This window comes from Homo sapiens, chromosome 5 (assembly GCF_000001405.40).
Source record: "Homo sapiens chromosome 5, GRCh38.p14 Primary Assembly".
NCBI classification, from domain to species: domain Eukaryota; kingdom Metazoa; phylum Chordata; class Mammalia; order Primates; family Hominidae; genus Homo; species Homo sapiens.
Window position 1 is genome coordinate 114489956 of NC_000005.10, and position 18769 is coordinate 114508724.

At 36.3% G+C, this 18769-nt stretch overlaps 1 protein-coding gene and 1 long non-coding RNA gene across 9 annotated transcripts in view; one reads left to right on the plus strand and one right to left on the minus strand.

Moving 5' to 3' along the window:
• KCNN2 (potassium calcium-activated channel subfamily N member 2) overlaps nt 1-6541 on the plus strand; it is a 440519-nt gene extending 433978 nt beyond the window's left edge. For all 8 annotated transcript variants that reach the window (NR_174097.1, NR_103458.2, XM_047417166.1 and 5 more), the window contains 2 exons: nt 3448-3517; nt 5940-6541. Coding sequence is in view for 6 of the 8 variants with exons in the window: in XM_047417166.1 (XP_047273122.1) it covers nt 3448-3517; nt 5940-6227 (358 nt within the window). In the remaining 2 variants the exon portion in view is untranslated. The remainder of the gene's footprint in view (nt 1-3447; nt 3518-5939) is intronic.
• LOC101927078 (uncharacterized) overlaps nt 1-18769 on the minus strand; it is a 325996-nt gene that overhangs the window by 42538 nt on the left and 264689 nt on the right. Inside the window, exon 4 of the long non-coding RNA NR_130785.1 lies at nt 6147-6223. This is a non-coding gene — a long non-coding RNA (uncharacterized LOC101927078). The remainder of the gene's footprint in view (nt 1-6146; nt 6224-18769) is intronic.

Below are 18769 nucleotides of genomic sequence, written 5' to 3' on the forward strand. Positions count from 1 at the left end.
AGTCCATGCTATCTCAACTCTGTTTCTCTTTTCCAAACTTCATAGCCTCTCTACTCTGTTGGATGCTGAACTGTCCAGGCCTGTGCCCTCTTTTCAGTAATTGTCTTTTTAGATTGTCACTTAGTGTCGTGAAGTGTTCTCTTTCTCTAACTTTTAACGCTTTTTCTGGTAGCAACTTTCCCTTTAAAGTTTATCATTCTTTTATCTCAACTATGGACCAACATGAATTTGTTTCAGAACCAAGAAATCCAATCTACTTGATTTGTATATCATGAGAGTTGGATTACCTGCCTTTCAGAAACCCCAGGCTTCTGAGTTGTCCTAATTTGGAAAAGATGTACCCCCCCAAAAAAATTACAATGCCTTTGTTTCAAATATTGTTCTTTTAACCATATCACATTCATATTAGGCAAAAATATTTCTTGTTGTTTACTTGAACATCAAATATCAAGAGGCCATGATGACTTTATGCATGCTCTTCCTTCTGAACTCTTATTCAGGAGGAAGCTGAGTGCTTACAGATGGGAAAGTATAGTAGCAATGAAGAAGGATAATTGGATAGTGTTTCTCTTTGGCCAATATTTCAAAATCCTGCAGAACCATAACAGGATCTTCCAGCTAATGAATCGAGCCCCTTGTGCACAACTGAACACCACATTGTGTTATTTTGTTCCAGAATATTTTACAGTTTCTTTTCTTTTGTTTTGTCTTTTTATTTCAACAAAATGAAAATAGAGCTCGGAAGTAAGTTGTGTGAGCCGCTCCTTTCAACATTTGCAGAATTTTCTACTGGCTGCATGCACCCAGCAGATCCTTTATTTGTGAATTTTAGTAGTCTGATTGCTGCTATGGAAATGTGATCCAAAATCATGATATTTTCCTGTGATAAGTGAAGTTCACAAGGAAGAAATCAACATATGTTTCTTTTTCTTTTTTGGGGGGAAAAGTGTAATACACATCTGCATGTTACCTTTTATTCTGGCAGCTGCAGCTTAAGCAGGCTTTTTCTATCAGCTCTCCTACATTACAGGCAGTATAAGAAACAAACAACAAGACAAGATGATTCAAGTTCCGATAGCTAAAGGAATTCCAATCAAATAAGGCTACTGTATGTCAGCTTTCCAGATTAGTAGAAAATAAAATGGGCAAAATTCTACTGTCAGACATAGTATAGTAATCCAAGAGAAGTAAATTAGGCCCCGTTGTTTATAAGATGAAGTACCCACTTAAGCTAAGAAACTGCCACTGGCCCTTCTAGCCTGACTTACAGAATTCAGGACTTTCTCTGTACTCATTACTTGCTGGAGGCATCTGGTCCAGAGCCCAAACTTCAGTCATTTCTGTGCCACTAATACTATAACTTACTTAAATTTGAACATGAAACTTTATACAAATTCCTTTATACAAATGTTAATCCATTTTTATACAAATGGATTAAAAAATATTACGAAGAAAGGTAAAGGTAATCGTCAATTGATAGTTGAAACACCGATATTGAATTCTAGCCATAGGCTGTTGCCTGCAGAAAGCTCTGAGCTGAGATTCTGCTTTTTCTTTTTTTTTTTTTTTTAAAAAAAGAAAAAAAAAAAAAAAGCAGGTGTTAGGAGATAAAGACAGAGTAGGACCAGACTATGATGTTTTTCTTGCAGTAATGAAGAATTAGAAGAGAACTAAAAGGATTAACTGTTTTCCATCTTAAGTATCACTTAAAGGCATCTAGAATACCTCTGTTGGTATGAATCCAGCAGTGCAGAAACATTTCTCTAATCTAACACACTTCATTTCATATGTGAGGAAACTAAAGGTCCAGTTAGAGTAAGGATGGAATCCACTGTTGTACACTGCTCTTTCTTTAGTACACTTCTGCGTAATGACCCACGGATGTCTAAGTGTTCTTTTTAGGGGGTGTAGGGTGGGGGCAGTTGCCTGTTTTTCAAAGGCACACATCAAAAATTGTAACCCTATTAATTACTGAGAGAAATCTTTCTCAACAATATATTGGATCTAAATACATGCTTGTAAATTTTAGACTAGGACATATTCCATCTCTGTAATAGCATAAAAAGGAGCCAATTAACTTCGTTCCAGCATTCTAATAAATACATAGTCACAATGAGAAGTTATAACCTTAAACTGTTGTAGATTGTTAAAGATCGTGTTGTAGGTATGTGTCAGCTAAACTTACTGGCAGAAGGCACTACATCTTCACTGTAGAGCAGATTTGGTGACATATTGGATATCCTAGTTTCGGAACAAAATCACTGAACATTATGAACGTATTACAAAATCTCCCTGGCAGTAAAATCTTGCCCTGTGAGTTTTTATTCCTTCTACATAATTACCTTTCATTTCAATTGAAAAATAATAAAAAATTCTCTCTCTAGCATTAAAACTATACTTTGTAAAATGACTTGTCATCAAAGCAAAATAAGATTGGCATGACTTTTTGTTTGTTTTCATTAAATAGTTTAGAAGAACCTACTTCTCTTTTGGGAAAAAGCTTTTAATTGTTAGCTTAAGGAACAATAAACCACACTTCTCTTATTGGAAAATCTTTCTTGGTACATAGTAAACACTGAATAAATATTTGTTGAAAAATAATATAGTAAATAAAGTTAAAGAATAGCAGAGTTCTTACCTACAAGTGTTTTTTTAATACCGTTTTTTGACTCTTAATTGACTCTTCATCAGGTATATACAATGATATTTAACAGTAGCTAAACATAATCTTACAAGTAGAGATTCCATCTGCCAGATACTATAATTGTCCTCTGACTTTTATCTACACTGAAAATGGGAATTTTTCCTAGGAAATGGTCTGGCCTCCCTACAAATTTAATGGCAGTTCAAGATAAAAGTTAAATGAAATACAATGAAGAATAAGATAATAATTATGTGTTTTGTGTTATATTGCTGCTGGTTGAATAAAAGTTTTTTTTTTTGTTAATAAGAATCTCACTTATCACTGTGTTTTCATCAGGTTCAAATACCTAACCCAATCCATTTCGGACTAAACAGGGCTAATACCTGTATCTAATCATGTAGGCATAGGAAGGTGCTCATTGCTCCAACATCAATGAAATTCCAGTTGCTTTGCATATTTCTTCCTATGTCTATGTGTCATGATACTGGGGCTTTAAGGAATGTTTTGGCTTTTTCTCATATGGTTAAATCCTTATGAGTCTTTCTGAATTCAACTTTACCTGGTAAATAGTTGTCCTAAGGACATCTCATCTCTTGCTCTCACTCTCTCCTTTCTTTTTTGCGGTGTTGGGGAAGCATGCTTCTCATTGTACCAGACACATAACCAGTTTGGACTTACCCCAAATGTTCAAGGCATTATCCATGCAGTTATTTGCTCTTGTCAATTTTGTGCATGCTCTTTGGAAGGCATAAGATTGCCATAGGAAGAAGGGAACCTTTCTGATACCAGATTCTATCTTTTAGATTAAGAAGTGTAAAAATGGAGCAGAGGAAACTGAATGACCAAGCAAACACTTTGGTGGACTTGGCAAAGGTAAGCCTGAGGTGCTTAGCCCTCCTAGTTGCATCTGTTGAAATCAACCACTTCACAGTCACTAATCATGAATGTTTCAAGAGGATCCCAACCCAAATCTAATTAATAAATCAAACCAGCAAAGCACCCTAAAATGATGGTCCAACTTAAAAGAATGTTTCTGTAACTCTCATTTAATGTACTCTTTCCCTATTACGTTATTCAGCCCCATTCTGAAAACATTCCTAGTTACAGTGATTTGGAAGTACCATAAGAAGCTTAAGTGGAATAGGAGACAATACATGCGGGATTTTTATTTGCATGTAAATCTCATCTCAATGAGAGCAGAACTGCATCCTAGGTGTGACTGTGATATTCAGGAATGAATAGGACTCATCAATTAAATTTTGTCCTATGTATTTTAAGCAAACTCAAAAGAATGTAAAGTTGAAATAAAAATAAAAGATACCAGAAATTACATCCTAGAATGAAAGTTATCACCCTAAAGTGATCACTTTTTTATGGTTCTTTCTCCATTTCATTATTTCAAAATCATACCACTTTTTAAAAAGTACATTAACAGTCTCCAAATTATTCTACCTTATTTATAATATTTATCTGATCAATGTTTAGTTGTTTCTCCCCACATAAAACCCATTCTTAAAACATAAATATTTGTCAATAATCAAAACATTGCATTTTCCTGGGTGAATTCTAAAGGTGGTATTAGAATAGCATTTATATAATTGTTCAGCCTTTTACCCAAATGCTTTGAAAGAGGCAACTCTCAGTTGCATCTTACAAACTGTTTTTTTTTGTTTGATAAATCAGACATGACTTTGCTAAAGCCTCAAGTATAATCCATAAAAATTACAAGTATTTGTCCTAGTCTCATTAAATAATGCATCTAAATTACATTCATTTTAATGTATAGCAGTAACACATACTAGATGTTGAAGACAGTAAGTATTTAATGACTTACCCTAGGAGAGCATATATCATGCATATAAACTGGACAGCACACATATAAAAAGTATGAGGACATCCTCGATTAACGTGTATAAATGTGGCTGTTACTTGGACATATGAAAAAAAGATAGGGCAAGCTCCATCACTCCTAGGTTAAATGATTTTTAATGGGTATTTTTATGAAAAAATGAACAGACCACATTGAAATATGATGTGGAGATGTAATTTTACTTCAAGAGTACCACTGTGAGGCAAGATGCTGTTTCTTTATTAATGTACTTATTATGACCACGGGACTGTACATACCATAAAGGCTCAGTATTTTCTTAAATGAATGGATGCTGTTCACATATTCTCAAGACTATGTAGTAAAATTAAGTGTATGCACTCTGTCTCTGGTCAAACTGAAACAAGGTGCCTATATTCTGAATAATAACTCCCTTATCAGTTCATTTACCATCTTTAAAAGATTGTTAAGCAGAAGAAGAGCATATGATAGAAGGGAAATGCAGTAGGAGGGACGGCTTAAATAAAGGGATCTCAGACTTGGGAAAGTCTGCACTAAACTAAGATTAAAACCTTTTCCTCCCTCTTTGCCAGCCTTTTCCCTGTCTAGCTCTGAGCTGATCAGTCCTCTCTCTTTGTCTCTTGGCTACTCAGGAAATATACCTAGAAATCAGAGTTATGGATACCCTGTGATCAAGACAATCAATTTCAAGGTTCACTAGGAATCCAGAAACATTTTCCTGTTTTAACCACTTAGCTTTGATTAAGCCATAGCCAGGAGGTCAGAGCCATGGCCAACAAGGTAGACTGGTAACTTCAGTATCTCCCTTAACTAATATTCTCTCAATGGGTTATCTGTAAAAATTCCATTTGACCCAATGGAGAGAGGCCTGTAATTTGGAACAAAGGATAACAAACAATCTTTAGGAATTTATTGCTTTAAATTACAAAATTATCAAACCAGTTAATCCTAAACTTCATTTATATTCTACCCTCAACATTTCTGCTACATCCCAATGCCATCTGTATTATTATTTATCCCTCTGTATTATTTATTGTTCTTTGCCTCTGCCCATTTTTTAAAAATTACCCTTGCCCTAATTAACAAACATGTTGCAAAATGAATTTGATGTACTAACCTTTGTGACAACCTTTAAAATACATATATAAATATTCAATTGAAATGTTTTTGTCTATCCTGATACCACCTAAAATCAATGGGCATGCCACCAGTAGCAGTACCTGCTCCACATTTTCTGCAACTGAACCAAAGATCTTATATTTCGATTATAAATCCTGGCATTGAACACATACAATGAGTTGGCTTTGCAAGATGAGCTGTTCAGTTAGCTGACACCCCTGTTACACTGAATGCCACCAGCAAGAGACCAGAGCTAAACCTCTGAGAGGTGGACAGTTTGTGTTCAGGGCAAGTATAATTAACCTTCTTCTCAATCCTGTTTTTCAGACCCAGAACATCATGTATGATATGATTTCTGACTTAAACGAAAGGAGTGAAGACTTCGAGAAGAGGATTGTTACCCTGGAAACAAAACTAGAGACTTTGATTGGTAGCATCCACGCCCTCCCTGGGCTCATAAGCCAGACCATCAGGCAGCAGCAGAGAGATTTCATTGAGGCTCAGATGGAGAGCTACGACAAGCACGTCACTTACAATGCTGAGCGGTCCCGGTCCTCGTCCAGGAGGCGGCGGTCCTCTTCCACAGCACCACCAACTTCATCAGAGAGTAGCTAGAAGAGAATAAGTTAACCACAAAATAAGACTTTTTGCCATCATATGGTCAATATTTTAGCTTTTATTGTAAAGCCCCTATGGTTCTAATCAGCGTTATCCGGGTTCTGATGTCAGAATCCTGGGAACCTGAACACTAAGTTTTAGGCCAAAATGAGTGAAAACTCTTTTTTTTTCTTTCAGATGCACAGGGAATGCACCTATTATTGCTATATAGATTGTTCCTCCTGTAATTTCACTAACTTTTTATTCATGCACTTCAAACAAACTTTACTACTACATTATATGATATATAATAAAAAAAGTTAATTTCTGCACATACTCGTTTGGTCACTTGACATTTCTAAAGCTTCACTTCTCATATTATTTTCAAGGTAAAATAGCGGATTATCATCTGATGCACACTGATAATTTTGATAGCCAAAAGTTTGGCTGGTTGGAAAAAAAGACTTTCAATTCCTCTATACCCTACTCCTAAGATTTTTCTCTTGTTATGAATTATTTGCATCAATCATTTGAACCAGCATAGCTTATTATTTTTTTGTTTGCAGTGTCTCATTTTTAATTCAATTTTTTTCAAAATGTAGAAAGTCTTTTATCAGAACATATACAAATAAGGAGGAGAGATGCTTTCAAGAATTTTTTAATTCCCAGTTTACACCACTGGGTACACCCAGTGGTACACCACTGTCTGTAAACAGATGGTGCAGAATTTTAGTTCTAAACTAGTTATTTCATATCTTTCCCTTTATTTATTATGAAAGGCCAAGCATGCACTTTTTGAATGTTTGGGGCCTACCTGTGTATATTCATAGATACATGTTGGCATACAACAGCATAGTGAATATACATAAGCCTAACTCCTAACATATCCTCTAGTAAGTGATCTCCTCTTGGTCTGTACGTACATATTTAACACATGTCAATAGCATCTAGTAAATTTCACGTGTTTTAGGACACTTGTTTCATGGATGGTTAAGGTCAGTTTGTGTGAAAGAGAACTGAGTGGTTATTGCTACAAACCTATCTGTTTGCAAATTTGCTCTAAGAATCCACTGGGTTTAGAAGAACCGTGTGTGAGATGATAGCAATACGGAATTTCCTCATGTGGTGTTATTCCCAAGAGTGTACAAGAAAGCTGATGGTGGTAGGGATAATGCGTCTTAAAAATAAGGCTTCGTTTGGACAGCTCTGAAAGCAATCTGCTTGTATCAGCCTAAACCTAAAAATACTCCATTTTCAGGGCAATCTGTTTCAGAAGCTTTTGTCCCCCCCCCCTCCACTTCATTTGATACCATACCCTTTGGTGTCAGCCTTACAACATTGCAAGTTGCTAGTATAATATGTTTTTCCTTCTTTAGCACAAACTGGAGTGATATATTTGATCCACCCTACATAGTCCAATGGATAAAATAACATTCATAACATTCTTCATAATTAATTAAAAAACCAAACAGTTCCTTTCAATATCAAGGATATAAAACTGATGGCTTTAGATTGCATGAGAACCACTTGCCATTTACTATCTATCCAAAATGGCTGAAACTGAAGCCCATTCATGTGGCTTATATATGCCTGTGTTGGATAGAATGAGGCCTGGAATTTTTTTTTATTTATTTATTTATTTTGATAATAAGTGGAAGAAAAACAGAACACTGGTTATAGAAACATACTGCCAGGTTAAATGAACATCAAGATCCTACTTTATCAAGATTTCTACTTCATGGATGAAATTAAAATCTCATTTTATGTATTTTGGGTTACATGCAAGAATATATCAAGCATTTGTTATAAACACTGGATGTAAGGAGAAATTTTGGAAAAAAATATTAATTTGTTCTTACAATTTATGTAGTTAATTCTTGTATCTTCTACCTTTGTTGTGACTAAAAGGCAGAGTAGCAGCTGAAGTTTATCATCTTACAGATCAATGAACACTATCACCCCAGAACACTAGGGGACTAGGGAAAAAATAATGTATTGCTTCTCTGTCAAAGATGAGAGAAGACAAAGATTTTAATTTATATTTCTTTGCCTTGCATTTATTCTCTTCTTTTTAACTGTAGCTCTTCTAGAATAAGTTACTCTGTTATCCTTCAAAATCAATTTTACATTTCCTATTCTATGCAGAGTATATGAAAACTGGTAAATATTAAATCTTTTATTTCTATTTTTTAAATGCTAAATAACCACAGTTTTAAAAGGAGGAGGGGACCCCTCGGTTACATAGACATTCTGGCCTGTGACTTGCTGAATCAACCCCACTTTAGGCAGAGCTACCAAGTCTCCTCCCAAATGGCTTTGAACATTAGGCAGAGTCCTCTGAGGGCTGCTTAGAGGACTGCTCTTGTGGTGATAAATGCCCTTACTTGCATTTTGCTTTTCAGAATTCCTAATAATGATTGAGTTCTGTTTGTCTCATCTCAGCCTGCCACACCCTGGTCTGTTTCTCTACAGCCAGCACAAGCCATTTGGCTTCTGCAAATCATTTTAAATTACAATGGCACCACCTTCCTCAATAATTTTCTTCATTTCCTCCACTTATACTCAGTGTCGAGGTTAGTCACTAGAAAGAAGACCCTGTGCTCTTACAGAAATGAGGATGAGCCAAATGCATAACAGGTACTAAATTTTGGAAATTTCATGTGCTTTCTCCCTAGTTTCTCCTCCCTTTCTGTTTGTTTTCCAAGAGTCTCTGCATCAAAACATCTACAGTAATCAAGTAATTATGCTCCAAAACAGAATTTGTGAATTCTGATAAAAAGCTAGGGGTTAGGGTTAATATGAGCATCGAGCAATGGATTAAATAATACAGTCCTCCTATTTTTGAGCTTTGCTCAGTTTTGAGAAATAGCATGGCAAAGTGGAAGGAGTCAGACTTGGGTGTGGAACTTAGCCCTGCCGCTCACTAGCTCTGTGCACCTGAACACCATTGATTCTCGGAGACTTTTGTTTTCTCATTTGTAAAATGAGCCTAAAAAGACACAGATATTGGAGGGGCAGGGCGGTCTGCAAATCCTGGCATCTATTTCATTAAATGATTGTAGTTACTTGTATTACTACTTACAGCAAAAGGCAGCAAATATTAAACACCTCCATTATCTGCTTATCTTCTAACTTTTAGCACCCGACTGTATATATATATATATATTCTCCCCCCTCACTTGTCTAGTTCATTCTTGAAGCAAGTTACTGGAATCCGGATTAGCATATCCATTTCCTTATCCTATCACTGTTTAATATAACCTAGAAAATCAATATGTATGTATCCTTTTTGTGATTCTGACATACTCCCTCTCTGCTTCTTGGAATTCCACAAAATCTGTTCATAAATATGATCCAGGAAAGTAGAGGGCGTTTGTTTAGGGAGTGCTGGGAAGGTCACCTGAGAGTTGGACCAAAGGGCTCATTTACTTTTTCAAACCCATCCCTGTAGGTCCTGAGCCTCCACCCACTGCTCCTAGTCTGTGTAACACACCCTGATGCCATTTATGTGTTTTAACTTGGGGACCCCAACCCTGGGGGCCTGGCCAGTTAGGAACTGGGCTGCACAGCAGGAGGTGAGCGATGGTACAGCAAGTGAAGCTTAATCTGTATTTACAGCCACTCTGCATGGCTCTCATTACCACCTGAGCTCTGCCTCCTGTCAGATCAGTGGCAGCATTAGATTCTCATAGAAGCACGAACCCTATTGCGATTGCGCATGTGAAGGATCTAGGTTGCGAGCTCCTTATGAGAACTTAATGCCTGATGATCTGTCACTGTCTTCCATCAGCCTCAGATGGGCCCTTCTCATTGCAGAAAACAAGCTCAGGGCTCCTACTGATTCTACATTATGGTGAGTTATTTCATTATATATTACAATGTAATAATAGAAATAAAGTGCACAATAAATGTAATGCACTTGAATCATCCCAAAACTATCGCCCCACAACCCCCAGTCCAAGGAAGAACTGCCTTCCACGAAACTGGTCCCTGGTGCCAAAGAGGTTGGGAACCACTATTTTAACTGAATTTTCAAGCAATCCACTAAGAAAAAATTTATCAAACTGGTTGTTTGATAAATAAAATCCTAGGAGATGTTGAGAGACCTGGAAGACCCTGCCATAAGCGGTATGATACAAAGGACTTCTCTCCATCTCACTGTCACTACTGCTACAGCCCTGATGAACATGATCTTTTTCAGTTTGTTAGATTAGGGAAGGAAAAAAATGCCCTGTCAATGCTGCTCTCTAGTTCTTCTGTTAAATATGTCACGAGTCAGCGAACCCAGAAATAGAAAACATAGATTATAGTTTCCCAGGTATTTTTAGAAATACTTAGAATTTGTTCCCCCGAGAAAATGCCTTTTTCTCCAGTTATGGTTTCCTCAGCCCCAAGGCCCGTGCTCCCTAAGTGGTAGTATGGAGTGGAGGCTGCTACTCAATTGATGAGAAATTACTATGGCTGGGCTCAGTGGTATGTAGCCTATAGTCCCAGCTACTCAGGAGGGTGAGGCAAGAGGATAGCTTGAGGCCACAAGTTTGAGACCAGCCTAAGAAATACAGCACCCCATCGCAGAAAGCAAGAGCAAGAGAGTGAGTGAGAGAGAGGAAAGAAAGGAGAGGAGGAGGAAAAGAAAAGGAGGAAGAGGAAGAAGGAAAGGACGGAAGGAAGGAAGGAAGGGAGGGAGGAGGAAGACTTACTAGGGCTACAGTGTCAGGAGTACTATATTAGACACTTACGTAACCTTAGGTCCAGCTAAAAGTTGTGTCTAAGGGAGGCTGTGGTCAGCAGATTGTGGCCAAGCAGAGCAGAACAGAGAGACACTTTGTTCGAGTTTTTCTACTCTGTTAATAACTTGCTTTCCCTGCGCCTCTTAGGAAAGCAGTCTCTCTCCATAACCCAACTCTTTTCATCTCTGTTGGAGACAGGTCTCATTTAATCCTTTAATTCCTGCATCAGCCCTATGTTTATTTCCATTTTACAGATGAAAATACTGGAGGGAGTATCTATTTCTAAAATGAGTTAAAGGAAATAAGTTCCTTTCTCAAAAACTTAAATTATCAATTTCCCTGGGGTTTCCTTCCCTGCCCCCCACTCCCAAATAAAGAAGCCTATAAACAAGATAATATTTCTCATTTGTCCATCCTGTCACTTATAAAAATATTTGAGGACAGTGAATATGCAGTGTCCTCTCCTAAGGTAAAAAATATATATATATTTGCAGACTCTGAACTGGTTCAGCTGAAAGGAAAAGTACACCTGCCCAGTGGGAGATTATGTGGGTCTGAGTCATAAAAGAAAGAATCCAACAGATCACAGAACGCACTCAGTGTTGCGCCCACATTTGGAGGTGATGCCACCTGTTACCTCTGCTGAAGCTGGGTCAGGCAATGAACCCTCAGCCATCCAGGCCCATCACCTCCCCTGCTGAAGAGACTGTGGCCACCAGACCTCCTTAGGTGGTTGGATGAGGGATGATACAAGATACTAAGATGAAGTCCAAACTATATCTTCACTGTAGAGGAAAAATCAAAATGGCTTTGGTAAGAAAATATTTGGCATAATGTGTACCAAAATCCTTCTGGCCATAATATGCTAAGTCTACATTATTTTGCCTAATAATACCTGTACCATCTACCATCCCTTCAGAGTGGGCTGGAGTGAACCCACATGCTCAAGCACATTTTATATGTAGAACCTGAAGAGACAGGCCTATTCTGGGTAGGCCTTCAGGTTCTACATATAAAATGTGCACAATTCCATGTTGTACATGAACCTAATTCTTCCTCTATCTCATTTCCTCCCACTTTTGTCTTATTGCTTAAATGGAATTGTTAGGTTGAACATTCATATTTTTGTGGGCTTTGGGAATGCAAGGCTAAAATTAGCCTGTCTTTCTGTTGGATAAGATCACACAGCCTCAGAGAGGAAACTAACAATGAATAGATAAAAGCACTTTAAATTAACCAACAGTTTTATTTTTGAGTTTATAGGAGGAAGTTATATACTATGAAGAAATACTGGCATCACTTAAATATGATTGCGTAAGGAGCTTTTCCCTTTATTTTTCTAAAAACCTATTTATACGTGTTCTGAAACATTTTAAGGGAGTTTGAAAATTATAAGTGTCTTTGACAGGGATCGCTGATAGCAAAGGTCTTAAAACAGGTTGCTGTGGGGAATAAAAATATTAGGTGGACATTTCCTAGTAAATGTGAAGCAGCCCAAGTGGGGAATCCTTTGTATCTTCATGAGATTCCTATCCCCTCTCTCTTTTAGAAAAAGCCACAGTAAGAGAATATTTCTTCTGTATAAATAATAGAGAGGACTTGAAAATTAGCAAAAAGCGGAATATTGCTAAATAACTTAAATGATTAAATATTTAGAGGGAAAAAACCCCTTTGCAAAGGCATTTAATGAAAACTTATTTACATACATAGGAGAATAAAGGTAATGACACGCTCTTATTCTTGACTTTGATAATTTAAAAACTGTAAGTAAAAACTATTTTGGAAAGACAAAAAAGGCAAGAAAGCATAAAAAATAAAAAAGTGAGAAAGCACAAAGCAAGAAGATGAAACCTAGTAGCCTAACAACAAGTACCAATAGTTTAACTCACCCATTTAAAGGATAGAAAATACAAGCTTGGGTTAAAAATAAAATAAATATATATGCTTTTTATGAAAGAAATGTAAAATAAAATGGCAGGTCAAACTAAAACCCAAGTTCCAGGGGAGAATTCAGGCTGGTCCAAACAAAAAAGTGGTAGCAATGTTCATTCAGACTAAAGCAAATCAAATGAAAAGTATGAAATCACAAAAAGATGCCATGTTACACTGATAAACATTCAACTGATACTGAAGAGAAAGCTGCACGAAGTGTATGCACTAAATAACACATATAAGTTAAAACTCTCAGAAATAAAAGGAAAAGCATAATTGTGTGGGAGACTTGAAGATCTCTGCAGCCTATACAGATCAAAAGGTAATAGACCAAAAATATAGTTTTTCAAAAACCATTACCAAAATTGGCCCAAGAACTAGTAGAAATATGAATAGAAAAATAACCATAAAAGAAATAGAAATGTAGTCAAAAATATAACAAGTCAAAAAGCACTCATACCAGTTGCTTTGAAAGAATACTTTGCATTTTATATAAAATCTCCCTGAGAATTAAATAACATAAAGTTAGCCAACTTATTTTACTAAGTATATGACCCTAAAGTCATAACTAGGCAAGGAAAACGTAAGATAAAGCTACAAACCAATCGACATCGAAAGTTGCGTGTAAGAATCCTCAATATAATATTAGAAAACCATATCCAGTGCTATATTAAGACAATAATACAGCATGACCAAGAAAGTTCAATCAGCCTTTCAAAAATATTAAACCCTAATAATATAATCACAGCATGTAACAGAGTAAAGACAATCATATAATTACTTCAGTCAATACTAAAGCTACATCTGATAAGATTCAACACTCATTCAAAAAATATTTGTAGTAAACTAATAAGATAGAGGAACTTATTTAATTTGATAAAGCATATCTGCAAGATACGAAGTAACAGCAAAACTCTAGACATAGCCTCCTTACTGACAAGAAGGAGGATGCCCAGCATCATCACTACTGTTCAACACTGTGCCAGAGCCCCAGCCAGTGCCCCTTCACACTGCTAAACTTCACACTGTTACTCTACACCCAGATGATCAAGATCCAAGCCTGACACACACACATGCACGCACACACACAGTTCAGGAGGATTTTTTTTATGACTTTACAGTATGTGAGACCTTCTCACACAAGACAGAAAAAGCAAAAGTCATAAAGGAAAAAATTTAAACATTTGCTTTTGGCAAAATTAGAAAGTTTCTGATATAAGGTAAAATTATAGGAGAAAAATGTTTACAATACTATATGACAAAAAGGCATTTTTATTCAGAATATACACATGTAGATGGATATGGATATAATAGTATTAGATAGATAGATAGATAGATAGATAGATAGATAGATAGACAGATAGATAGATAAAGATAGATCTCTATCTCTCTGTATGGACTATCCATCTATCCATAAGTAAAAGACAAAAATCTGGTAGGAAAACAGCAAAGTAAAGGATTTCTACAGCCTACTCACAAAAGAGGCAATAAACATGTGAAGAATACCAAACCTACTGATAATAAGAGAAATGTGCAGTAAGACACCAATAAGGCATTATTTTTTCCCAGTAGACAAAGTGTTAACAGTATAACACACATTAGTACGGAATAGGTAAGGGGAACTAGGTTTCTCATATACTACTAGTCTGAATATTCGTAAACTGGTTCAAAGCTATTTAAGACCACCTATTAAAATTTAAAATGCATATACCTGCTTTGGAAAATTCTCAAATTTCCTTTTTAAGACTGAAAAATAAATAAGTAATAGATGGTGTTTCCCTTTCCTGAGAGAAAGACAAAACTCACAAACTTTGTTAGCAAGTGAGACAAGGTCTGTGTCTACTGCTCCCAGAAGATCAGTCTCTATTTGCCAGCAAATGAAGCTACCAGGACACTCATTATCGGAGGAGAGAGAAACATCAAAACACTTCCCTATTTGGTGTCACTTGCAGAGAGAGAGAGAGAGACACTGCGTGAGATAGAGAGAGAGAGAGAGCGAGCGCGCGCGAGCGAGCGCCAAGACACTTGGACCAAGTGCAAAGTGTTTTTCTATTGCCATATTACTTCATAATCAGAATACTATTAAATAGCACTCTCATATTTCTCACAGTCTTTTCAGACCTCTAGTGAAGATTCCTCTCAAGGCTCCAGGCAAGAGGAACCTGTGCTTTCAGCCTAGCGTTTGCAAGGATCTTGCATATCACACACAGTGAAACTTAGGAACATGTATCTTGATGTTATTCTCTTCAAACATTTTAAATAAAGCGTAGTAAAACACCCCTCAAATGGGAATTTCAGGAGAGGAATTATTGTGCCAAATTATCCCTGCAATCCCAGGCCAGACTATAAAGACCTGGGGACATAAACATGTATTTTGAGCTGGGAGGAGGGAGGAAGTAGATAGTTTTTTGTCCCTGGTAAACATTCGCACAATCCCACCACTCAGTCTCTTGTTTAGAGTAACACCAGCACCTATAGCCATGCTGGAAGGTCTGTGAACTTTTAACTGCAACTGTGCTTTTAATATCTTTTTAATTCCAAATGTCTTTAAATAGAGAAACTGCTGAATAAATTGTTATAAATACACAAATTAACAACTTTAAAGTATTTGGAAGATCTAAAGTTACTCCCCTAGAAAGATCCTTAAGATATATTAATATTTGTTAGCAATAAATACAAACTTCAGAACATTACTAAGAGTAGTAATAAGGCACTATACTGGAAGACTTAGATAATGCATTTAGGCAAATGTCATTAGAGCTGTAAGAAAACTATCAAAGCTTTATTTTCAAATATTATAAAACAATTTGACAACTCCACAGAATCAATAATAACAATAATTCAAATGATACCAAAATTCAGCAAGTTAATGGGCATAAAAATAGCATGCAGAGATTGAAACTGAACCCATTCCTTACACTATATACAAAAATTAACTCAACATGGATTAAAGACTTAAATGTAAAACCAAAAACTATAAAAAACTCTGGAAGGCAACCTAGGCAGTACCATTCTGGACACCGAAATGAGCAAATATTTTGAGAAGACACCAAAAGCAACTGAAAGAAAAGCAAAAATTGATAAATGGGATCTAATTAAACCAAAGAGCTTCCGCACAGCAAAGGAAACTATCAACCGAGTAAACAGACAACCTATAGAATGGGGGAAAATTTCTGCAAGCTATGCATCTGAGGCCTGCTGTCCAACATCTATAAGGTTTGCTGTCCAGCATCTATAAAGAACTTAAACACATTTATAAGAAAAAACAAACAATCCCATTAAAAATTGGGCAAAGTTCATGAACAGACACTTTACCAAAAGAAGACGTACATGCAGCCAACAATCGTGATAAAAAGCTCAACATCACTGATCATTAGAGAAATGCAAATCAAAACCGCAATGAGATGCCACCTCTCACCAGTCAGAATGGCTATTAATAAAAAGTCAAAAAATAACAGATGCTGGTGAGGTTGTGGAGAAAAAGGAACATTTACACGCTGTCAGTGGGAGTGTAAATTAGTTCAACCATTGTGGACTACAGTTTGGAAATTCCTCAAAGACCTAAAGATGGAAATACCATTCAACCCAGCAATCCTGTTACTGGCTATATACCCAAATAAATATACATCATTCCACTATAAAGACACATGCATGTGTATGTTCATTGCAGCACCATTCACAATAGCAAAGACATGGAATCAGCCTAAATTCCCCATCAGTGGTAAACTAGATAAAGAAAATGTGGTACATATATACTATGGACTACTATGCAGTCATAATAAAGAACAAGATCATGTCCTTTGCAAGAATAAGGATGGAGCTGGAGGTCATTATCCTTATCAAACTAGCACAGGAACAGAAAACCAAATATTGCATGTTCTCACCTATAAGTGGGAGCTAAATTATGAGAACACATGGACACAAAGAGTGGAACAACACATGCTGGGGCCTATTTGAGGGTGGAAGGTGGGAGGGAGGCAGAGGATCAGGAAAAGTAGCTAATGAGTTTCTAGGCTTAATACCTAAATGACAAAATGGTCTGTACAACAAACCCCTAAGACCCAAGTTTATCTATATAACAGACAAGTTTACCTATATGACACAAGTTTACCTATATACCTGCACATGTATCCCTGAACTTAAAAGTTAAATTTAAAAAATAGCATGCCGAGGCCGGGTGTGGTGGCTCACACCTGTAATCCCAACACTTTGGGAGGCCGAGGCAGGCAGATCACCTGAGGTCAGGAGTTCGAGACCAGCCTGACCAACATGGAGAAACCCTGTCGCTGCTAAAAATACAAAATTAGCTGGGCGTGGGGATGCATGCCTATAATCCCAGCTAGGGGCTGAGGCAGGAAAATCACTTGAACCCGGGAGGTGGAGAGGTTGTGGTGGGCCAAGATCGCGCCATTGCACTCCAGCCTGGGCAACATGAGCGAAACTCTGTCTCAGAAAAAAAAAAAAAAAAAAAGCATGCAGAAATCAATAGCTTTGATGCACACACCACTAATCAATTGGAATATATAATGGTAGTGAGAAACATCCAATTTATAATTACAAAAAAAATACTTAGGAATAAACTTAACAAGAAATGAGCAAAATCCTCATGACAAAACTTTAAAACATCCCTGAACGACATAAAAATAGACTTGCACAGATTAGAAAACACCTCTTTTACTTGTATTGAATAGCTCAACATCAGAAAGATGTAAGTTCTCCTTAGTTTTACAATTTAATGCAATCCCAATTTAAAATATATTAAGAAGCTTTTTAAAATGGAGTTACACAGGTTGATACTGAAGTTCACATAGACAGAATAAGAATAAAAATACTTATCTTTTTAAAAGCTATGTCTGGTGGTCTTTTCGCCAGAAAAAAATATAACATGGTATAAAACATCTATATTTAAAATATTGTGATACTAGCGCAATAATAGACAGAAAGATCAGTGAAATAGAACAGAAATTCTAGAAACAGAGCCAAGTATGTCTGGAAAGTTATTATATAATAAAGGTGGTATTTCAAGTAATTGGGACACAGATGTACTTTATAATAAATGGGCTGAAACAAGTGAATAGCAATGTGGAAAACATTGGTAAAACTAGAGCCATACTTCACATCATATGAAGATTAAACTCCAACTGGATCCAAGAGTTACACATAAAAACTGAAACCACACAAGTAATAGAAGACAGCATGGGTGAATTTTTCTAAAACCCAGGTAGAGTGAAGGGCTTTCTGGAATGCAGGGGCAATAAAAGACACGACTGATAAATTTAACTACATCAAAACAAAAGAATTTTGAATAACAAAGAAGAACACCTCAACCAACCTCTTTGGATAGAGTCAAAAGCAGATGATACACTGGGAAAAATATTTGTAACACAACACAGATAAAGAACTGAAATCCCTAATATTGTAAAAGATTCTTATAATTGAGAGGAAAAAATTCTAAAACTCTGATAGAAAATAGGACGATGGGCAAAAGACAGATGATTTACAATATATATATATAATTCTAAACATTTAAAATATATTCATTATATTCATAATATAAGAGATGCAAATTAAAACTATACAAATATATTAATGTCATTTTTCTCAGATTGGTAACAACTGAAAGCTTGACAACGTATTTTGTTGTGAACAAAATGAACAGACACTTTCATACTTTTCTTATGGGAATGTAAAAAGGCACACTCCTCCGGGGGGAAATTTGACAGCATCTAACAACTTATTTTTCACCCAGAAACCTGTCTTCTAGGTTTATACCATGAAGACACAACTTCAACATTACAAAGGTATATACCCGTGAGATTGTTAATTACATTACTGTAATTGCAAAACATTGGATGCAACGTGAATGCCTCCATTTTTAAAATTTGTTCAAAATGAAGA